Below are 21,667 nucleotides of genomic sequence, written 5' to 3' on the forward strand. Positions count from 1 at the left end.
AATCACTTTAATTAAGCTAAGCCCTTACTAGATTGATGGGACTTAAACCCACGAACATTTAATTAACAGATAAACACCCTAATCAACTGGCTTCAATCTACTTCTCCTGCCATTGGGGGAGAAAGGTGGGAGAAGCCCCGGCAGGATTGAAGCTGCTTCTTTGAATTTGCAATTCAACATGAAAATCACCTCGGGGCTGGTAAAAAGAGGTCTTGATCTCTGTTTTTAGATTACAGTCTAATGCTTACTCAGCCATTTTACCTTTTTCTCACTTCACTTATGTTCACCAACTGTTGACTGTTCTCAGCCAACTATAAAGATACCGGGATATTCTATCTACTATTCAGTGCATGAGCAGGGATAGTGGGTCCAGATTTAAGCCTCCTTATTCAAGCTGAACTGGGCCAACCAGGTACTCTTTTAGGAGATGATCAAATTTATAATGTCATCATTACAGCTCATGCATTTGTCATAATTTTCTTTATAGTAATGCCAATTATAATTGGAGGCTTCGGCAACTGATTAGTTCCTCTGATAATTGCCCCCCCAATATAGCATTTCCCTGCATAAATAGTAGGAGTTTCCGACTCCTCTCACCCTCTTTCCTACTATTATTTGCATCCGCTATAGTAGAGGCAGGCGCTGGAACCGGCTGAACAGTCTACCCCCACCCCCCCACCCCTTAGCAGGAAATCTAACACATGCGGGAGCCTCTGTAGATTTAACCATCTTTTCACTCCATTTGGCAGGTGTTTCTTCTATTTTAGGGCTATTAACTTTATTACCACAATTATTAATATAAACCCCCAGCCATGTCCCAATATCACACACTCCTCTTCATCTGATCAGTCTTAATTACAGCAGTTCTTCTACTCCTTTCTCTCCCAGTCCTAGCTGCTGGCATTACTATATTGTTAACTGACCGCAATCTTAATACTACTTTTTTTCGACCCAGCTAGTGGAGGTGATCCTATCTTATATCAGCATTTATTCTGATTCTTCGGTCACCCCGAAGTCTCTCTCATCTTACCAGGCTTCGGATAATTTCCCATATCATAACATATTATTCTGGAAAAAAAAAGAACCATTTGGGTATATGGGCATAGTATGAGCCATAATATCAATTGGCTTCTTAGGGTTTATCGTATGGGCCCACCACATATTTACAGTAGGAATAGATGTAGATACATGAGCATATTTCACCTCTGCTACTATAATTATTGCTATTCCTACTGGTGTCAAAGTCTTTAGCTGGCTAGCTACACTTCACAGCAGTAGTATCAAATGATCCCCCACAATGCTCTGAGCCCTGGGATTTATTTTCCTTTTTACAACAGGAGGCCTAACCGGCATCGTACTAGCCAATTCATCACTGGATATTGTACTACATGATATTATGCTGTAGCCCATTTCCATTATGTCTTATCAAAAGGAGCCATATTTGCCATTATGGGAGGCTTTGTTCACTGATTCCCTCTATTTTCAGGTTATACTCAATCAAATCTATGCTAAAACTCACTTTGCTATTATATTTGTAAGTGCGAATTTAACTTTTTTCCCACAACACTTCTTCGGCCTATCTGGTATGCCTTGACGTTACTCCAGTTATCCTGACGTGTACACTGCATGAAATATTATTTCATCCTAGGCTCATTTATTTCCCTAACAGCAGTAATACTAATAATTTTCATGGTCTGAGAAGCCTTCACTTCAAAATGAAAAGTTCTAATAGTTGAGCAACCATCTACCCACTTAGAATGACTATATGGCTGTCCACCAACCCATCACACATTCGAAGAACCAACCTACATGAAGACCTAAGTGAAAAAGGAGGGAATCGAACCCCCCACAGACTGGTTTCAAGCCAATCCCATAACCTCTGTGACCTTCTCAATAAGATATTAGTGAAATTATTTCATAACTTTGTCAAAGTTAAGTTATAGGTTAAGCCGTATATATCTTAATGGCCCATACAGTTCAATTAGGTCTTCAAGATGCTTCATTTGCTATTACAGAATAACTACTTACCTTCCATGACCACATCCTTGTCATTGTTTTCCTAATTAGTTCCCTGGTTCTATACGTTATTTCTCTAATACTCACAATAAAATTGACTAACAATAGCACCATAGATGCCCAAGAAATAGAGACTGTCTGAATGATCTTGCCTGCTAGCATCTTAATCTTAACTGCCCTCCCATCCCTACGTATGTAATATACAACAGATGAAGTCAATAAGCCTTCTCTCACCGTTAAAACAATCGGACATCAATGGTATTGAAGCTACTAGTGTACAGATTATGAAGAGTTAAGCTTCTATTCTTATATGCTTCCAACAGCAGACCTAAAACCAAAAGAACTCCGACTCCTTGAAGTCGATAACCGAACAATCCTCCCAATAGAAATTCCCATCCGCATGTTAACCTCATCTGAAGATGTCCTGCACTCATGAACTATTCCCTCATTAGGTTTAAAAACAGATGCAGTCCCTGGACGCTTAAACCAATTTACCTTAACCACTACACGACCAGGCTTCAACTACAGACAATGCTCAGAAATCTGTGGATCTAATCACGGTTTTATACCTATTGTTCTAGAACTAGTTCCATTAAAAACTTTTGAAACTTGATCTATAGCCACACGATAATATCACTGTAAAATTACCCCAGTGTTAACCTTTTAAGTTAAAGATCGAGAGAAATCATACCTCTCTAGAGTGAATGCCTCAGCTAGATACCTCCACATGACCTATTATTGTATCAATAATCGTAACTTTATTTTCCATTATTCAATTAAAAATTTCAAATTTCATCTACCATACACCCCCTTCACCAAAAACAGTTAAAGTACAAAAACATAACAACCCTTGAGAACTAAAATGAACAAAAATCTGTTCACCTCATTTATCGCCCCAACAATCCTAGGGTTACCCACAGCAGCACTAATCATCTTGTTCCCCTCCACACTCCTTCCAACCTCCAACTATCTAGTCAATAACTGATTAATTTCTATTCAACAATGACTAGTTCAACTTATCCTAAAACAAATAATTATACGTAACATTAAAGGACAAGCCCGATCCCTTATACTGATATCTCTAATTCTCTTTATTGCCTTAACCAATCTCCTTGGACTCCTACCAGACTCATTTACACCAACTACCCAACCATCAATAAATCTAGCTACAGCAATCCCCTTATGAGCAGGCACAGTAATCACAGGCTTCCGCTTTAAAACTAAAAACTCCTTAGCTCACTTCCTACCACAAGGCACACGCATACCACTTATTCCTATACCAGTATTCACCGAAACCATTAGTCTATTTATTCAACCAACAGCACTAGCTGTACGTCTAACAGCCAACCTTATAGCCAGTCACTTACTCATGCGCTTAATTGGAGGAGCCACACTAGTATTATCAACTACTAACCTTCCCACAGCTTCAATCACCTTTATTATTCTAATTCTATTAACCATGCTCCAATCTGCTGTGGCCCTTATCCAAGCTTATGTCTTTACGCTTTTAGTAAGCCTTTATTTCTATGACAATACATAATGACCCACCAAACACACACCTATCATTTAGTCAAACCCAGCCCTTGACCATTAACAGGGGCTCTCTCAGCTCTCCTAATAACATCCGCCCTAGCTATATGACTTCACTTTAACTCTATTACTCTTTTAACCCTGGGCCTACTAACCAATACACTGACTATATATCAATGGTGATGTGACATTATCCGAGAAAGTACATTTCCAGGCCATGATACAACAACTGTTCAAAAAGGCCTCCGATGTGGAATAGTCGTATTTGTTATCTCAGAAGTATTTGTCTTTGCTGGATTCTTTTGAGCATTCTACCATTCTAGTCTAGCCCCAGCTCCAGAATTAGGAGGACACTGATCTCCAACAAGCATTTCTCCCCTCGACCCCCTGGAAGTACCCCTCCTGAACACATCTGTATTACTTGCATCAGGGGTTTCAATTACTTGAGCCCATCACAGCATAATAGAAAATAATCGAAAACAAGTAATTCAAGCACTACTTTTCACAATTATCTTAGGCATTTGCTTCACCCTCCTACAAGTCTCAGAATACTTAGAGGCTCCCTTTGCTATTTCTGATGGAATTTATGGCCCAACATTTTTTATAGCTACAGGCTTTTATGGACTTCACATCATTATTGGATCAACTTTCCTTACTATCTGCCTTCTCTGCCAATTAAAATACCACTTTACATCCAGCCATCATTTTGGCTTTGAAGCCACCGCCTGATATTGACACTATGTAGATGTAGTATGACTATTCTCATATATTTCTATCTACTGATGAGGGTCTTACTCTTTTAGTATAAACAGTACCATTGACTTCCAATCAATTAGTTTCGATAGTATCTGAAAAAGAGTAATTAACCTAACACTAGCCCTAGTAATCAACACCCTACTAGCCCTGTCACTTACAGCTATTACATTCTGGCTCCCACAACTTAATATTTATACAGAAAAATCCAGCCCCTACAAATGCGGATTTGACTCGTTATCCTCTGCCCTCATTCCTTTCTCCACAAAATTATTTCTAGTAGCCATCACATTCCTCCTATTTGACTTAGAAATCACCCTACTGCTACCCTTACCATGAGCCCTTCAAACAACCTGACACTAATAATTAGTACATCCTTTATGCTAGTTATCATTTTAATCCTAGGGTTAACTTATGAATGAACTCAAAAAGGATTAGACTGAACTGAATTGGTAAGTAGTTTAAGCCAAAATAAATGATTTTGACTCATTAGTTATGACAGAACATGTTTACCAAATGCCCTCTATTTACATAAATATTATATTCACATACACCATGTCACTTCTGGGGGTATTAATCTATCCATCCCACCTAATATCATCCCTACTATGCCTACAAGGAATAATATTATCATTATTCATCATAAATACCCTTTTAACTTTAAGTATACATTTTACCCTAGCAACGTAGTACCCATCACCCTACTAGTATCTGCTGCCTGCGAAGCCGCAGTGGGCCTTGCGTTACTAGTTTCAATTTCCAACACATATGGCTTAAACTATGTGCATAACCTAAATTTACTTCGACGGTAAAAATTATCATTCCAACAATTATACTGCTACCAATAACATGACTCTCTGATAATCCTATACTCTGGATCAATATAACCACTCACAGCCTAATTATCAGCTTTATTTCCCTATTATTCTTTAATCAATTCAACGACAATCTATTCAACTTCTCATCAACTTTTCTCCTCTGATCCCCTAACATCACCCCTTCTAATCTTAACAGCCTGGCCATTAACTCTTATAATTATAGCAAGCCAGTATCACCTCTCCAGTGAATCCCTCCCACAGAAAAAGCTCTATATTTCCATATTGATCTCCCTACAAGTTTTTCTAATTATGGCATTTACAGCCACGGAACTAATTATATTTTATATTCTCTTTGAAGCTACACTTATCCCCACCTTAATTATTATTACCCGCTGGGGCAACCAACCAGAATGCCTCAATGCAAGCACATATTTCTTACCTTACAAACTAGTAGGATCTCTCCCCCTACTTATTATACTTACTTACACCCAAAATATCCTAGGCTCACTGAGCATAATAATAATAACATTTTTTAATACCCAAGAACTATTGATTTCCTGATCCAACAACTTTATATGGTGTGTATAATGGCTTTTATGGTAAAAATACCCCTATACGGACTTCACCTATGACTTCCTAAAGCCCATGTAGAAACCCCTATTGCTAGCTCAATGGTACTTGCAGCAGGACTCCTAAAACTAGGCGGCTATGGCATAACACGACTTAACCCTTATCCTCAGCCCCCTGACAGAATATATAGTCTATCCCTTCCTCATGTTATCCTTATGAGGTATAGTTATGACAAGCTCTATCTGTCTATGACAAACTGAGCTAAAGTCACTTATTGCATATTCCTCCGTAAGCCATATGGCACTTGTTATTATGGCTATCCTTATTCAAATCCCCTGAAGCTTTACCAGTTTAATTATCCTCGTAATTGCCCACGGACTTACTTCGTCCCTACTTTTCTGCCTAGCAAATTCAAACTACAAGCGAATCCACAGCCGAACCATATTACTCTCTCGAGGGCTTCAAACATTATTTCCACTAATAGCCTTTTGATGGCTTATAGCAAATCTTACTAACCCTGCCTTACCCCCCTCCACTAATCTAATAGGAGAACTCCTCGTAATAGTGGCTTCTTTCTCCTGATCAAATATTACCATTATGCTTATAGGATGTAATATATTAATCACTGCCCTTTATCTCCATCACATACTTGTCACAACACAACGATGAACACTTACTTATTATATTAACAGTATTAAGCCCTCCTTTACATGAGAAAATATATTAATATTTATACACCTTTCACCTATTCTCCTATTATCTCTAAACCCTAAAATTATTATACAGTCAGTTTAATCAAAATGTTAGATTGTGGATCTAATAATAGAAGTCTGCTGCTTCTTATTTACCAAGAAAGTGTGCAAGAACTGCTAACTCATGCCCCCATGCCTGACAATATGGCTTTCTCAACTTTTAGAGGATAAGAGCTATCTGTTGGTCCTAGGAACCAAAAATATTGGTGCAACTCCAAATAAAAGTAATAATCACATATTACCATAATAACCTTAATCTCCTTAACCTTACCAATTATTATTACCTTCATAAACCCTTACAAGAAGAACTCGTACCCATATTACATAAAAATAGCTATCGCATGCACCTTCACCATTAGCCTCATTCCCACAACAATGTTTATATATACAGACCAATAACCCATCATCTCAAACTGATATTGAATAACAATCCAAACCTTTAAACTCTCATTAAGCTTCAAACTAGACTACTTCTCCATAATGTTTATTCCAGTAGCACTATTTGTCACCTGATTATAGAATTCTCAATATGATATATAAAGTCAGATCCTAATTTTGATCAGTTTTTCAAATATTTACTTATTTTCCACACCACAATATTAATTCTAGTTACCGCCAACAACTTTTTCAACTTTTTGTTGGATGAGAAGGCATAGGAATTGTGTCTTTTCTACTAACTGGCTGATGACATGGCTGAGCAGATGCTAATACAACAGCCCTGCAAGTGATCCTACATAATCGCATTGGCGATATTGGCTTCATTTTAGCTATAGCATGATTCCTCACATCCTCCAATACATGAGAGCCTCAACAAATATTTATCCTAAATCCTACCCCCGATCTTCTTCCATTAATTGGCCTTCTCTTAGCAGCAGCAGGAAAAACAGCCCAACTTGGCCTCCACTCCTCACTTCCTTCCGCCATGGAAGGCCCAGCCCCTGTCTCAGCCCTACTCCACTCTAGTAATATAGCTGTGGCAGGGGTTTTCCTACTTCTTCGTTTCTACTCCTTAATAGAAAATAATGTGTTAATCCAAACCCTTACACTATGTCTAGGAGCTATTACCACTTTTTTACAGCAATCTGTGCTTTAACACAAAATGATATTGAAAAAATCGTAGCACTCTCCACCTCAAGTCAACTAGGCCTTAGAATAACCACAATTGGCATTAATCAACCACACCTAGCATTCCTACACATCTGCACCCACGCCTTTTTCAAAGTTATATTATTTATGTGTTCAGGATCCATCATCCACAGCCTCAACGATGAACAAGACATCTGAAAAACAGGACTATTTAAGACTTTACCCCTTACTTTCTCCTCCCTTATTATTGGCAGCCTAGCACTTATGGGTATGCCCTTCCTCACAGGCTTTTACTCTAAAGATCTCATCATCGAAACTGCAAACACGTCATATACCAACGCCTGAGCCCTCTCTTATTATTTTCATTGCCACTTCCCTAACAAGCGTCTATAGTATCCAGATTATCTTCTTCGCCCTAATAGGACAACCCCACTTCCCAACCCTAATCAACATTAATGAAAATATTCCTTCCCTAATAAATCCAATTAAACACCTTATAGTTGACAGCATCTTCGCTGGGTTTCTCCTCACCAATAGCATTGTCCCTGCTTCATCCCTACAAACAACAATAGCACCTCATCTAAAACTTGCAGCCCTAGGTGTAAACATCCTAGGGCTTTTACTGGCTATAGAACTGAGTTCTATAACTAATAATCTTACAATAAAACACCCATTACAAATATTCAACTTTTCTAACATATTAGGATTTTACTCAATCACAATTCACTGTATAACCCCTCACTCAAGCCTATCTACAAGCCAAAACCTGGCATCACTTCTATTAGATCTAATTTGACTAGAAAAGTCCATACCAAAAACAACTTCACAAACCCAAATCACAGCCTCCGTTACTATAAGTACTCAAAAAGGCCTATTTAAATCTTATTTCCTCTTTTTTTATTCCATCCTTTTTGACTTTACTCTTAAGTATTTAATCTGTTGCCCTGAGTAATTTCAATTATAACATCAACACCAGCCAACAATGTTCAACCAGCAACCACCACCAATCAACACTCATAATTATAGAAAGCACCCGCACCCACAGAATCTTCACGAACCAACCCTGGCCCCTCACCCTCAAAAATTATTCAACTTCCCATACTATTAAAATTAACTACAATCACCAGTCCATCATACTCACTCATCAACTTAACACCAACTCTACTGCTAAACCCAATAATAACGTTTCTAAAACCACAATGCTTGATCCTCACTCCTCTGGATATTCCTTAATAGCCACCACCGCAGTATAGCCAAAAACAACCATCATCCCCTACAAGTAAATCAAAAAGACTATTAATCCCATAAAAGCCCCACCATAATTTAGTACAATAACGCAACCCATAGCACCACTAATAATTAACCCTAAGACCCCATAAATTGGAGGTTTAGAAGAAAAACCTACAAATCCCATAACCAAAAGAACACTTAATCAGAACAAAGCGTATGTCATTATTCCCACATGGATTATAACCATGACTAATGATAAGAAAAACCATTGTCATATTTCAACTATAAGAACACTAATGACCATAATACGTAAAACAAATCCACTAATAAAAATCATTAATTATTCACTCATCGACCTCCCCACTCCATCTCATATCTCTATATGATGAAACTTGGGCTGACTTCTTGGCACCTGCTTAATCCTTCAGATCATCACAGGGTTATATCTGGCCATACATTACACACCAGATACCTCAATTTCTTTCTCTTCAGTCGCCTATATTAACCGAGATGTGAACTACAGCTGAATTACCCGCTTTTTTCACGCTAACGGTACTTCAACATTCTTCATCTGCCTCTTCCTACATGTCGGCCGAGGCTTATATTATGGCTCATTCACATATTTGGAAACCTGAAACACTGGCATTATTCTCTTGCTTACAACCACAGCAACAGCGTTTATAGGCTATGTGCTTCCATGAGGCCAAATATCACTCTGAGGCGCCACAGTAACCACAAACCTAATATCAGCTACTCCATATGTCGGGACTGACCTTGCCCAGTGAATCTGAGGTGATTTTCAGTTGACAAAGCCACTCTTACACGATTCTTCACCTTCCATTTCATCTTACCTTTCATCATTATAGCCCTAACAATTCTCCACCACCTATTCCTTCACGAAACAGGGTCTAATAACCCCTCAGGAAATCTCATCACACTCCGATAAAAGAGACCCTCTTCCTAGGGAGGCGGTGTGGGGGATTGGTCAGAGTGGTGGGAAAAACTATAGGGAAAGGACACAAACCTTCTGAAAGGTCGGAAGTTTCTACAGAGCCCCAGGAGGAGAATAGCTGAAGGCAGCTGTTCTATAACCCTGAGGTAGAGGGCAAGGAGTAGCTACAAGGGAGTGTGGGGGAATTTTTCTTAAACAAGATTGTTCACTTACATCAACCAGGAACTGACCTTTGATCATCCGTGCGCCTGACGTTCCCTGAAAGGGGAACAATAAATGTTAATTACCTACAGGTTGTGTCGGCTCCAGGTTTTCACCATTGTGCCTGCACTGAATAAAAGCAAGCAGCTCCAGCTTCTCACAGCTGCTCTCTGGCCACTGGGGCTGGGCAGTCACCTAGCTGCCTTACACTGCATACCTGTGTCTGAGTACTCATTTCATCCATCAGCCAGGGTCTGTGGGACAGATCCGGCAAGGTGGCAGGCACTGTCTGTACAGAGGGAGAGGGTGGCATGTGCCTGTGGTAGTCTGTGTTGAGCGGGCTTAAGGGGCTGTGACCTTGATCCTTGTTCTCTCTTTGGATCAGGGTCTTGATTTTCCTGGAGACCCTGACCCCCCTGGAGAAGGTGACTTGGGTGTCTTAGGGAGGGGGAAGGGGAAAAGAGGGTGGGGCTTCTATGAGGAGCCTCCATGTGGCTAATGGGCTTGGGTACTGGGAAGCTGGAGATATGGCAGGACAGGCAGGGGGATGGGAGGATTGGCAGTTTTAGGGGTGATGCCAGCCAGGTTGGGGCCTCCTCTGGCCTTGCTTCACCCCTGCAGGGCCAGGACAGTGCTAAGGGTGACTGTGGCAAGGATGGCGAACCAGGACAATCTGTGAATGACCAGTGACCCCACCACCCCCACTGAGCCCCAGCCTTCAGCCCCTTAGCCCTCTTCTATACCCACGCCTGAGAGGTCCCTTGGCTGGAGGCCAAACACACACCCATCCCAGTTCTTCTCTTCCTAGGCATTCCCTGGTCCCACTGGGGAGAACAGACCCCCTGGGCCACTAGTCAAGTGGGTGAGTGAGGTGGGCTCTGGGACCCTGGGAGGCAGTCCCTGGGCCATGTGGTAGAGATTGGGCAATGGCTGGTGGGGCGGGCAGGGAGATGCCTGCTATCTGTGCTGTCCCTGATGTGTGCATGGGGCGGGGGGGCATGAGCACACGGGTTTATGAGTCTGTGACCTCCTGGGTATGTTGTTCCTGAGGTTTGGTGAACATGTTCTCAACAGCGGTGGTCATGTTTACTGACCAATCAATGGACACTGGTGGAGGGACGGGCCAGCTTTTCTGCTGGGCCAGAGGTTAACCTGGGCCACCAGGTGGGGTGTGGGCGACTGGCTCTTCCCCAAATGCACAGACGCCTCTGCATTTTCACAACAGGACCTCTGCATCTGTGTGTGTGTGCCATGTGTGTGCAATGTGTCTATAGTATGTGCATGTGTGCAGTGTGTGTGTGTGTGTGTGTGTGTGTGTAGCACAGAAAGGGGAAGACTGGCGCCTGGCTGCCTAGGCCTCATGTTCTCTCCCTTCCCGTCCCATTTGCAGGGTCTCACTGGCATGCCTGGTCCCCAGAGCCAATGAGGAGTAAAGCCCAGGTGAAAGAGAGGCTGCCCCTGGGTGCTGGAGCCTCCCCTCTGCCTTCCTGCCCCTCAGGTGCCTCGTCTCCAGATGTCTACCCACCCCCATCCATGTATCCCATGTTGACCCCTCCTGGGGATGGGGTTTCCTATAGTTATTGCTGCTCTGGGGCTCCCAGGCTTCGGGCCCTCCTCCCTGCCTCACCCCTTCCACTTTGAACCCCTGCTCCAATTCACATCCCCTCTGCTGCCTTTCAGGACACGTTCCTTGTGTGCATTTCAGGGCCTCCAGGTGCTGTGGGTGCCTTGGGTCCCACAGGCCCAGCTGGTGCTGATGGTCTGAGGGGCTCTGGGGTTCAGTGTGAGTCACTGCAGGCGAGGGCTGGGCTTGGGGAGGAGGGTGAAAAGCCCGGAGAGGAGTGCAATGTGGGGTGCTCCTCCTCATCCCTGGGGTCCCCTCAAATCTGCAGGGTCAGCAAGGCCGACCTGGAGCCACAGGCCAAGCTGGGCCTTCCAGTCCTGTGGTGAGTGACTGGGATGGGGCTGGTGAGGGGTGAGGGTGGGCGCCCTGAGGCAGCCAGCTAAGACCCTGCAGGAAGTGGGAGGCGATGGGAGAACCGAGTTACCGCCTCTCTCTGGAGAGAGGGACTTCCTGTCTCCCCAAAGGGACCCCCAGGGCTTCCTGGCTTTGGGAGCGATGCTGGAGCCGAGGAAGAGGTGAGTGACAAACACATGGCCAGGTGTGTCTCCCATCACCCTCAGCCCTGAAGCCTGTGGGACTCTGAGGGGCCTGCTCTGCTCCAGGCCCCCAGCCGCCAGGCCCCGGGGTCCCTGCTCAGTGAGGGCCACCCACAGACCCTGTGCCCAGGGCATTCTCTGTGTCTTGGCCTTTCTCCCCCATCCATGTGACTCCTCCTGTGTTCCCCGACCACCTGCTCCCTTCTCTAGGGGCCGCTCAGGTCTCACTGGACTGATTGGGCCCCCTGGAGGAGCAGGGAGAGAATGGGGATCAGGGTCTTCCTGGCCCTCAGGGCTCCCCTGAACAGAAAGGGAGAGGTGAGTACAGGGCCTGGTCCTGGAGGGTGGGGGGAGGGGTGGGGAGTGGGAGGATGGGGTTAAAACTCAGCTGTGGGTGAGGGAGCAGATGCTCTGGAGTTTGGGGGGAGGAGGGCCCAGTTGAGCCAGGTCCTTCCCTAGGGTACCCCAGGAGCATCCACCCCATTGGTCCTGGAGACTCCCTGGCCTCCCCGTGAGCACTGCTTCTGTTCCTGCACTAAATCCTGAACCCCACTGTTGCCTCCCTTGACTTCCAGTGTAACACGCCAAGTCCTCAGGGTCCCCATTTGTCCTCATGCCTCCAGTGCTTCCTCCCCACACTTCCAGAGCTCCAATGTCCCCAGATTTCCTCAGGCCTGCCCCTCCTGTGTAGGAACTCGAGGCTGCTGTGGACTTGGGACCTGGCCTCTGCACTCCTGAATCCTGTCTTTCCCCTGCCGTGACTGGCTCTTTCTTGTTCTTTGTGTCACAGGGACACTGGCTCAAAAGGAGCCAAAGGAGGCGCAGTGAGTGACCCCTGTTGGACTGGACACTGTCTCTTCAAGGCAAACAGACTCCCCCCAGGGAGCCCCTGATTCCCAACCAGGAGACTGACTTCACCCTTCTGTGACCTTAATCCCATGTGTGACATCTTGACCTCTCCATGACCTCATTTGTCCTCGCCCGACAGGAGAGGACCACAGCCCCAACCAGGGCTGTGCTTGGGAGGCCTTCTGGATTTTCTGCCACTTGGCAGCAACAGGGGAAGCTTGTGGGACCCCCTGGGATGATGCCACAGAGGTGCGAGCTGGTCTCTGGCTGCCCGTCCCTGCCCATAGTGCACCCCCTCAGGGCCCAGTGGTTTGGCGGTTGTGGAAATGGAGAGAAGCCTTTTGGAATTCATACTGGAGAAGGGATAAACAGGACTCAGTCATGGGTCGTTTAGGACACTGGGAGATACAGGATGAAGAAACTCTCCCAGAGTCTCAGACTAATTCATAAATTAAAATACAGGCTCCAGCTCTGGCACTGTGGCTCATGCCTGGAATCCACGTGCTTTGGGAAGCTGAGGCAGGAGGACAGCTTGAGACCAGAGTTGGAGGCCAGCCTGCGGACACAGCCAGGAAAAGAAAGTGGCTGCCAGAAGGTGCCCGACCGCCAGGCCCGAGGCACCCTGGAGGGATCCGCGGGGAGGGACCCGCAGACCGAGGAAGGCATGCAGCTGCCCCACAGGTGGCCCGGCCTCTTCCTGGCCCCCTCACGTACATGTGCAGAGACCGTTCCTTGTCTTCGGAAGGTGAACTTGGAACAATTCCCACGGGACACTGCGAATGACGGCGGCTGGGCTTGGGCTCCCCTCTCCGTCCTCAGAGCATGGCCAGGCCCATGGCTGCTGCTCTTTGCCCGAGAGCATGGGAGATTGCCCCAGGGGGCGCGCCCGGCAGGGCCCTGCTGTGCTACCTGGAACCAAGAGGCCTGGCCGCAGTCTCTGACCCCACTCCCGCAGGGGACTGCGCAGGACACAGATGCCGAGGCCGGCGTGGTGGCTACGCCTGTGGTCCCAGCTGCTCGGGTGAGGCGAGAGGAGCGCAGGAGCCTGGGAGGCCGAGGCTGCAGTGAGCCGAGAGGGCCACTGAGCCCCAGCCTCAGCGACACAGCTAGACCCTGTCAAGGAAAGGGGAAGGAAGGAAAGGGAAAGCAAAGAAAAGAAAACAAAAAAGCAGAAGCAAACGGGCAAGAGGCCAGCGTGTGGTCCCGGGCTGGCCTCAGTAGTAAAGATGCTCGGAGGATTGATTGATTTGCCGGATTCTGCGCGGTTTCCCAGCCTGTGCCTGGTTGCAGTGCCCTCCCTGTGGTCGCTGGCTGCCCGGACCCATACCCAGCCCCACGCCTGCCCTGCCCTCTTCCCAGCCAGAGTCACGTGAAAAGACCCGTGGAGGTACAGGAGGGCGGCCCTGTATCTGTCTCATCCCCCAAATACCTTGTCACTAGGACCACGTTGCCTGAGATGCCCATTCCATCTCTGTCCTTAAAGGCGTCACTTTTTTTTTTTTTTTTTGAGACGGAGTCTTGCTCTGTCTCCAGGCTGCAGTGCAGTGGCGCCATCTCGGCTCACTGCAACCTCCGCCTCCTGGGTTCAAGCGATTCCATTGCCTCAACCTCCCGAGTAGGTAGGACTACAGGTGTGTGCCACCTCGCCCAGCTAATTTTTTGAATTTTTAAGTACAGAGGGGGTTTCATCATGTTGGCCAGGATTGTCTCCATATCCTGACCTCGTGATCCACCCGTCTCAGCCTCCCAAAGTGTTAGGATTACAGGCGTGAGCCACTCGCCAGGCCAAGGCTTCACCTTTTAACAGGTCCTACTGGAAGCATGTTCAGGACTTTCATGTGGTCCTAAACTTCGTGAGGGAGAGTGAGAAACTGCCCCCCATCGCAGTGATGAGATTACCGCGTGGAGGTGACTTGGAGGTCCGCCCGCGCCCTGGGATGGAGCCTCGGCCAAGCTCCCGGGAAAGTACTTAAAAAGGCCACTAGCAAGCGCGCGATGAACGGCGCAAACACCTACGGGACGGCTCGAGATCGCAGGCTGGCGAGGGCCATCGCAGCTGCCACCCGCACGCCCGACACCGTCCGGGTCCACCTGGGATCGCCGTCCCGGCCCGGGTGGGCGGAGGGGCCCCGACACCACCCCAGAGCCCCAGCTTTGGAGCTCCCCAACGCCACAGCCAGGCACAGTGCGACCCCGGCAGCAGAGGGGGCACTTGGACCATTTGTTCATAGTCTGGGACCTCCGGTCCCACGAGAGCAGCTGCGAGAAGGCGACCGACTCCTCCTGCAGCTCCGGGGCCGCGCCTGCGGGGTCGCAGCTCCGGAGAGGACAGGGCCTTGCTCCAGGCGAGGAGGCCGGGGGCGCCTGGCCAGGACTTGCCCAACGGGTTCCTGGCAGGCATGGACCTGAAACCTGAAACCAAGAAAGGACTGCGAGAGAAAGTGGATGAGTCCCTTTTAACGCCACCATTTCCGAGTGCAGTTCTTTCTAAACCTTAAAACAAAGCCCAGAAGCCATCAAGGACATGGCTGAGAAGCTAACCACGGCATTCACACCAAATTTATCTTCTGCAGTGCGACCAAGCCAAAGGACAACAAATGGGTGTGGGCCGCAGTTGTGCAAATATTTGTATAAGAGCATCGATTTCAGGTGGGCTCAGTGGCTGCGCCTGTAATCCCAGTGCCTTGGGAGGCCGAGGCAGGAGGATCGCTTGAGGCCAGGAGTTGGAGACCAGCCTCAGCAACACAGTGAGATCCCATCTCTTAAAAAAAAAAGAAAGAATGTCGATTTCAGCATTACTTACCATAATAACAAAAAAAGAAAGAAAGAAGAAATAATAGGCATTAAGAGGGACCTACTTAAATAAATCCTAGTACATCCATACAACACAATACTATGAATTTATGGAGTTTTTAAAATAAGGTAAATGTTGATGAACTGTTAAATGAAATACTCTTTCGCCTCACTCATACAAACTAACTGCAAATGGGTCACACACTTAAATGTAAAACATGAAACTATAAAACTTTAAGGGAGAAATTCTAAAAGAAAAATGGGGGACCTAGAGCTGGATAAATATTTTAGGCTTGATACCAAAAGCATGACCCATAAAAATTTGGATAAATCAGAGTTCATCAAAACTTAAAACCTAGGTTCTGTGAAAGACTATCTTAAGAGGATTAAATGATAAAATACAAACCAGTAGAAAAGACAGACATTCCTGGGCGACATTTCAGGTTCTGTTCCAGACTACCACAATAAAAGCAAATAGGGAAATAAAGCCAGTTACACAAGCTTTTTGGTTTTCCAGTGCATACAAAAGTGGAGTTTACATATATTATAGTCTATTAAGTGTGCAATAGCATTGCCTCTAAAACAATGTACATTCCTTAATTTTAAAATACCTTATTGCTAGCCAGGTGCCATGACTCATGCCTGTAAATGTCACTTTGAGGGTTGAAGTGGGAGGATCACTTGAGCCTAGGAGTTCAAGACAGCTTGGGCAACATTGTGAGACCAAATCTCTACCAAAGAAAAGTTTCTTAAATTAGCTGAGCATGGTGGCACACGCCTGTAGTCCCAGCTACTCAAGAGGCTGAGGTGTGAGGATCACATTAGCCTAGGAGTTAGAGGCTGGTGTGATCTATGATTGAGCCACTGCACTACGGCCTGGGTGACAGAGCGAGACTCCATCTCAAAAAAAAAAAAAAAAAAAAAAAAAAAACACTAAATAAATATTGCTTAAAAATGCTATAGAAGATCTGAGCCTTCAGTGAGTCCTACATAATCTCTTTGCTTCCTTGATGCTGATGACTGCTGATTGATCAGGGTGGTGGTTCCTGAGTGACCAGCAATTTCTGAAAACAAGATTCATCAATTAAGTTTGCCACATTGAAGAACTATTCCTTTCACAAAAGACTTCTCTGCAGCATGCAGTGTTGTTTGATATTTTACCCACAGTAGAACTACTTTCAAAATCATCTCAAACCCTGCTGTGGCTTTGTCAAGTTTCTGTGCTATTCGGAGTCCTTTTTGTCATTTCAACCATGTGCATAGCATCTTCACCAGGAGTAGATTCCTTCTGAAGAAGTCACTTTCTTTCCTCATCCATAAGAAGCAACTCATCTATGCAAGTTTGATGCTGAGACTGCAGCAATTCAGTCCCATCTTCAGGCCTCACTTCTTCTTCTTCTTTTTTTTTTTTTTTTGAGATGGTGTCTTGCTCTGTCGCCCAGGCTGGAGTGCAGTGGCACAATTACGGCTCACTGCAACCTCCGCCTCTCAGGTTCAAGCGATTCTCCTGCCTCAGCCTCCTGGGTAGCTGGGACTACAGGTGTGTGCCACCATACCTGGCTAATTTTTTTTCAGTAGAGACAGGGTTTCACCGTGTTAGCCAGGATGGTCTCGATCTCCTGATCTCGTGATCCACCCACCTCGGCCTCTCAAAGTGCTGGGATTACAGGCCTGAGCCACCGCACCTGGCCACCTCACTTCTAATTCTAGTTCTCTTCCTATTTCCACCACATCCACAGTTACTTCCTCCACTGAAGTCCTGAACCTCTCAAAGTCACCCATGAGGGTTGGAATCCACTTCTTCCAAACTCCTGTGCATGTGGATATTTTGACCTCATCCCATGGATCACACATGTTCTAGATGTCTAACTACACCTAGAATGGTGATTCTTTTCTAGGTTTTGAATTTACTCTGCCCAGACCCATCAGAGGAATCACTATCTGTGGCAGCTATAGTCTTACAAAATGTATTTCTTAATAAGAATTCAAAGTCAGAATTACTCCTTGACCCATGGGCTACAGAATGGATGTTGTGTAAGCAGACATGTAAACAACATTCATCTCCTTGCACATCTCCATCAGAGCTCTTGGGTGACCAGGTGCATTGCCAATAAGCAGTAATATTCTGAAAGGAAGCTTTATTCCCGAGCAGGTCTCACAGTGGGCTTAAAGTGTTCAGCATATCATGCTGTAAGTAGATGTGCTGCCATCCAGGCTTTGATTTTCCATTTGTAGAGCACAGGAAGAGTGGGTTTAGCATAATTTTTAAGGCCCTGGGGTTTTTGCAGTGGTAAATGAGCACTAACTTCCACTTCAAGTCACTGGCTGCATTAGCCCCTAACAAGAGTCAGCCTGTCCTTTGAAGCTTTGAAGCCAAGGCATTTACTTTGGTTCTTTATCTATGAAAGATCTGGATGGCATCTTACCCAGTAGAAGACTGTTTCATCTGCATTGAAAATCTGTTGTTTAGTGTAGCTGCCTTCATCAAAGATCTGAACTAGGTCTTCTGGATAATTTACCACAGCTTCTCCATTGGCACTCGCTGCTTCACCCTGCACTCTTATGTTATGGAGATGGCTTCTTTCCCCCTTAAACTTCATGAGCCAACCTCTGCTAAGCTTCAAACTTCTATTCTGCAGCTTTCTAGCCTCTCTCAGCCTTCATGAAATTGAAAAGCCTTATGACCTTGCTCTGGATTAGGCTTTGGCATAAGGGAATATTGGGGCTGGTTTGATCTATCCAGACCACTCAAACTTTCTCCATATGAGCAATAAGGCTGTTTTTTCTTCCTCTTTTTTTTTTTTGTTTTTTTTTTTTGAGATGGGGTCTTCCTCTGTTGCCCAGGCTGGAGTGCAGTGGCACGATCTTTACTCACTGAGGTCTTGACCTCCCAGGCTCAAGCAATCCTCCCACCTCAGCCTCCCGAGTAGCTGGGACTACAGGCATGTGCCACCATGCCCAGCTAATTTTTTTATTTTTTGTAGAGACAGGGTTTCACCATGTTGCCCCCAGGCTGATCTGGCCAAACTCCTGGGCTCAAGAGATCTGTTCACCTTGGCTTCCCAAAGTGCTGGAATTACAGGCGTGAGCCACTGCACCCAGCCTGTTTTGCTTTCTTATCATTTGTGGGTTCACTGGCTTAGCACTTTTAATTTCCTTCAAGAACTTTTCCTTTGTATTCACAACTGGCTAGCTGTTTCGTGCAAAAGGCCTAGCGTGCTGGTCTGAGCTTTCCACATGCTTTCCTCGGTAGCTGAGTTTGGGATTTAAAGTGAGAGATGTGCAACTCCTCCTTTCACTTGAACACTTACGAGCCCATAGCAGGCTTACAGATTATTGTATTTTCAATATTGTTGGGTCTCAGGGAATAGGGAGGTCTGAGGAGAGAGATACAGACAGCTGGATAAACAGCTGGCTGGTGCAGCAGTCAGAGCACACACACCATGTATGGATTAGGTTCACCGTCTTATGTGGGTGCTGTTCATGGTGCCCCAAACCAATGACAATGATAGCGTCAAAGATCACTGATCACAGATCACCATAACAGATATAGTAATAATTCAAATGTTTGAAATATGGCGAGAATTACCAAAATGTGACACAGAGACCCAAAGTGAGCACATGCTATTGGAAAAATGGCAGTCTTTTTGGATGCAGTTTTGCCATAAACCTTCAATTTGTAAAAAAAAAAGAAAGAAAGAAAGAAAAAAGAAGAAAAGAGCAATATCTGCAAAATATGATAAAAATAAAGCAATAAAGTAAAGTGCAATAAAATTAGTCTGCCTGGATTTGCAAATTCTGTCTCCAACCAGTGCTGGGATCCATAATATGCAAAGAACCCTCAAAATTAAACATTCTGTGAGTATCAAATTCGAGAATTTGGTATAAAAATGCATCTACTTCTAAAAGTGAAAACTACAACAAAAAGAAGGAGTTGCTTTGCTTAGAAACTTTTGAAGCGCACTGCATTATTTTTATTTATCCGCATGATTGCCAGGTAATCTGCATATCAAAATAAGAGGTTTCAGATGCCATAAAATTAATTACCATTGAATTTCTGACAGAGGAGATTTGGGAGAATATAGGCAACATTAAATATAAGAGGAAGTTTGATAAGTTTAAGAACTATGACCACAAAAGCTTTTTGGATGTGGCAACTTTCAATTAGAACTGATTGAAAGTGAATAAACTTTGAGAAGATTTTCTACCACTCTGTGGGTTGTCTGTTTACTCTGCTGATTGTTTCTTTTGCTGTGCAGAAGCTTTTTAGTTAAGTCCCATCTATTTATCTTTTTGTTGCATTTGCTTTTGGGTTCTTGGTCATGAAGTGTTTGCATAAGCCAGTCATCTAGCAGGGTTTTTCTGATGTTATCATCTAGAATTTTTATGGTTTCAGGTCTTAGATTTAAGTCTTTGATCCATCTTGACTTGATTTTTATATAAGATGACAGAGCTCTTTCCTTCTGCTGCTGCGGCTGCAGCCATGAGTACTGCTCAGGCTTCAGAAGAGGCTCGCCTCTAGTGTCCTCCACTGTGGCAAGAAGGAGGTCTAGTTGGACCCCATTGAGACCAATGAAATTGCTAATGCCAACTCTCATCAGCAGATCCAGAAGCTGATCAAAGATGGGCTGATCATCCACAAGCCTGTGATTGTCCATTCCCAGGCTCAATGCTGGAAAAACACCTTGGCCTGCCGGAAGGGCAGGCACATGGGCATAGGTAAGCAGAAGCGTACAGCCAATGCCCAAATACCAGAGAAGGTCACATGGATGAGGAAAATACTGCACCGGCTGCTCAGAAGATACCGTGAATCGAAGAAGATTGATGGCCACATGTATCACAGCCTGTACCTGAAGGTAAAGGGGAATGTATTCAAAAACAAGTGGATTGTCATGGAACACATCAACAAGCTGAAGGCAGACAAGGCCCACAAGAAGCTCCTGGCTGACCAGGCTGAGGCCCCCAGGTCTAAGACCTAGGAGGCACGCAAGCACCTTGAAGAGTGCCTCCAGGCCAAGAAGGAAGAGATCATCAAGACTGCCCAAAGAGGAAGAGACCAAGAAATAAAAGCTCCCCCTTTGTCTGTACATACTGCCCTCTGTGATTACATAGATCAGCCATTAAAATAAAACAAGCCTTAAAAAAAAAAAGATGAGAGATGAGGATCTAGTTTCATTCTTCTGCATGTGGCTTGCCAATTGTCCCAGGACCATCTGTTGAACAGGGTGTCCTTTCCCCATGTTATGTTTTTGTTTGCTTTGTCTAAGATCAGTTGGCTGTAAGTATTTGGTTATATTTCTGGGTTCTGTATTCTTTCCATTGATCTATGAGCCTATTTTCATATCAGTACCATGCTGTTTTGATGACCATGGCCTTATAGCAGAGTTTGAAGTTGGGTAATGTGATGTTCCAGATTTGTTCTTTTTGCATAGTCTTGCTTTGGCTATGTGGGCTCTTTCTTGGTTTCCTGTGAATTTTAGGATTGTTTTCTCTAGCTCTGTGATGAATGATGGTGGTATTTTGATGAGAATTGTGCTGAATTTGTACATTGTTTTTGGCGGTATGGTCCTTTTCACCATATTGATTCTACCCACCCATGAGCATGGGATGTGTTTCCATTTGTTTGTGTCATCTATAATTTCTTTCAGAAGTGTTTTGTAGTTTTCCTTGTAGAGGTCTTTCATGTCCTTGTTTAGGTATAAACCTAAGAGGGTTTGTGTGTGTGTGTGTGGTTTTTTTTGCAGCTATTGTAAAAGGGGTTGAGTTCTTGATTTGATTCTCAGCTTGGTCTCTGTTGGTATATAGCAGAGCTACTGATTTCTGTACATTAATTTTGTATCCTGAAACTTTGTTGAATTCATTTATACATCTGACAAAGGACTAATATCCAGAATCTACAAAGAACTCAAACAAATCCGCCAAAAGAAAACAAACACTCCCATCAAGAAGTGAGCAAA

General features: G+C 44.8%; 11 pseudogenes; 10 read left to right on the top strand and 1 right to left on the bottom strand.

Annotated features, from left to right (window-relative positions):
• On the top strand, nt 280-1,821 carry MTCO1P7 (MT-CO1 pseudogene 7; annotated as a pseudogene).
• On the top strand, nt 1,964-2,629 carry MTCO2P7 (MT-CO2 pseudogene 7; annotated as a pseudogene).
• MTATP6P7 (MT-ATP6 pseudogene 7) lies at nt 2,879-3,559 on the top strand (annotated as a pseudogene).
• MTCO3P7 (MT-CO3 pseudogene 7) lies at nt 3,556-4,329 on the top strand (annotated as a pseudogene).
• On the top strand, nt 4,430-4,749 carry MTND3P15 (MT-ND3 pseudogene 15; annotated as a pseudogene).
• On the top strand, nt 4,816-5,111 carry MTND4LP15 (MT-ND4L pseudogene 15; annotated as a pseudogene).
• On the top strand, nt 5,108-6,467 carry MTND4P27 (MT-ND4 pseudogene 27; annotated as a pseudogene).
• Nucleotides 6,677-8,451, top strand: MTND5P29 (MT-ND5 pseudogene 29; annotated as a pseudogene).
• Nucleotides 8,457-8,978, bottom strand: MTND6P8 (MT-ND6 pseudogene 8; annotated as a pseudogene).
• On the top strand, nt 9,051-9,701 carry MTCYBP8 (MT-CYB pseudogene 8; annotated as a pseudogene).
• RPL19P4 (ribosomal protein L19 pseudogene 4) lies at nt 20,161-20,851 on the top strand (annotated as a pseudogene).

This window comes from Homo sapiens, chromosome 2, assembly GCF_000001405.40.
Source record: "Homo sapiens chromosome 2, GRCh38.p14 Primary Assembly".
Classification (NCBI taxonomy): Eukaryota; Metazoa; Chordata; class Mammalia; order Primates; family Hominidae; genus Homo; species Homo sapiens.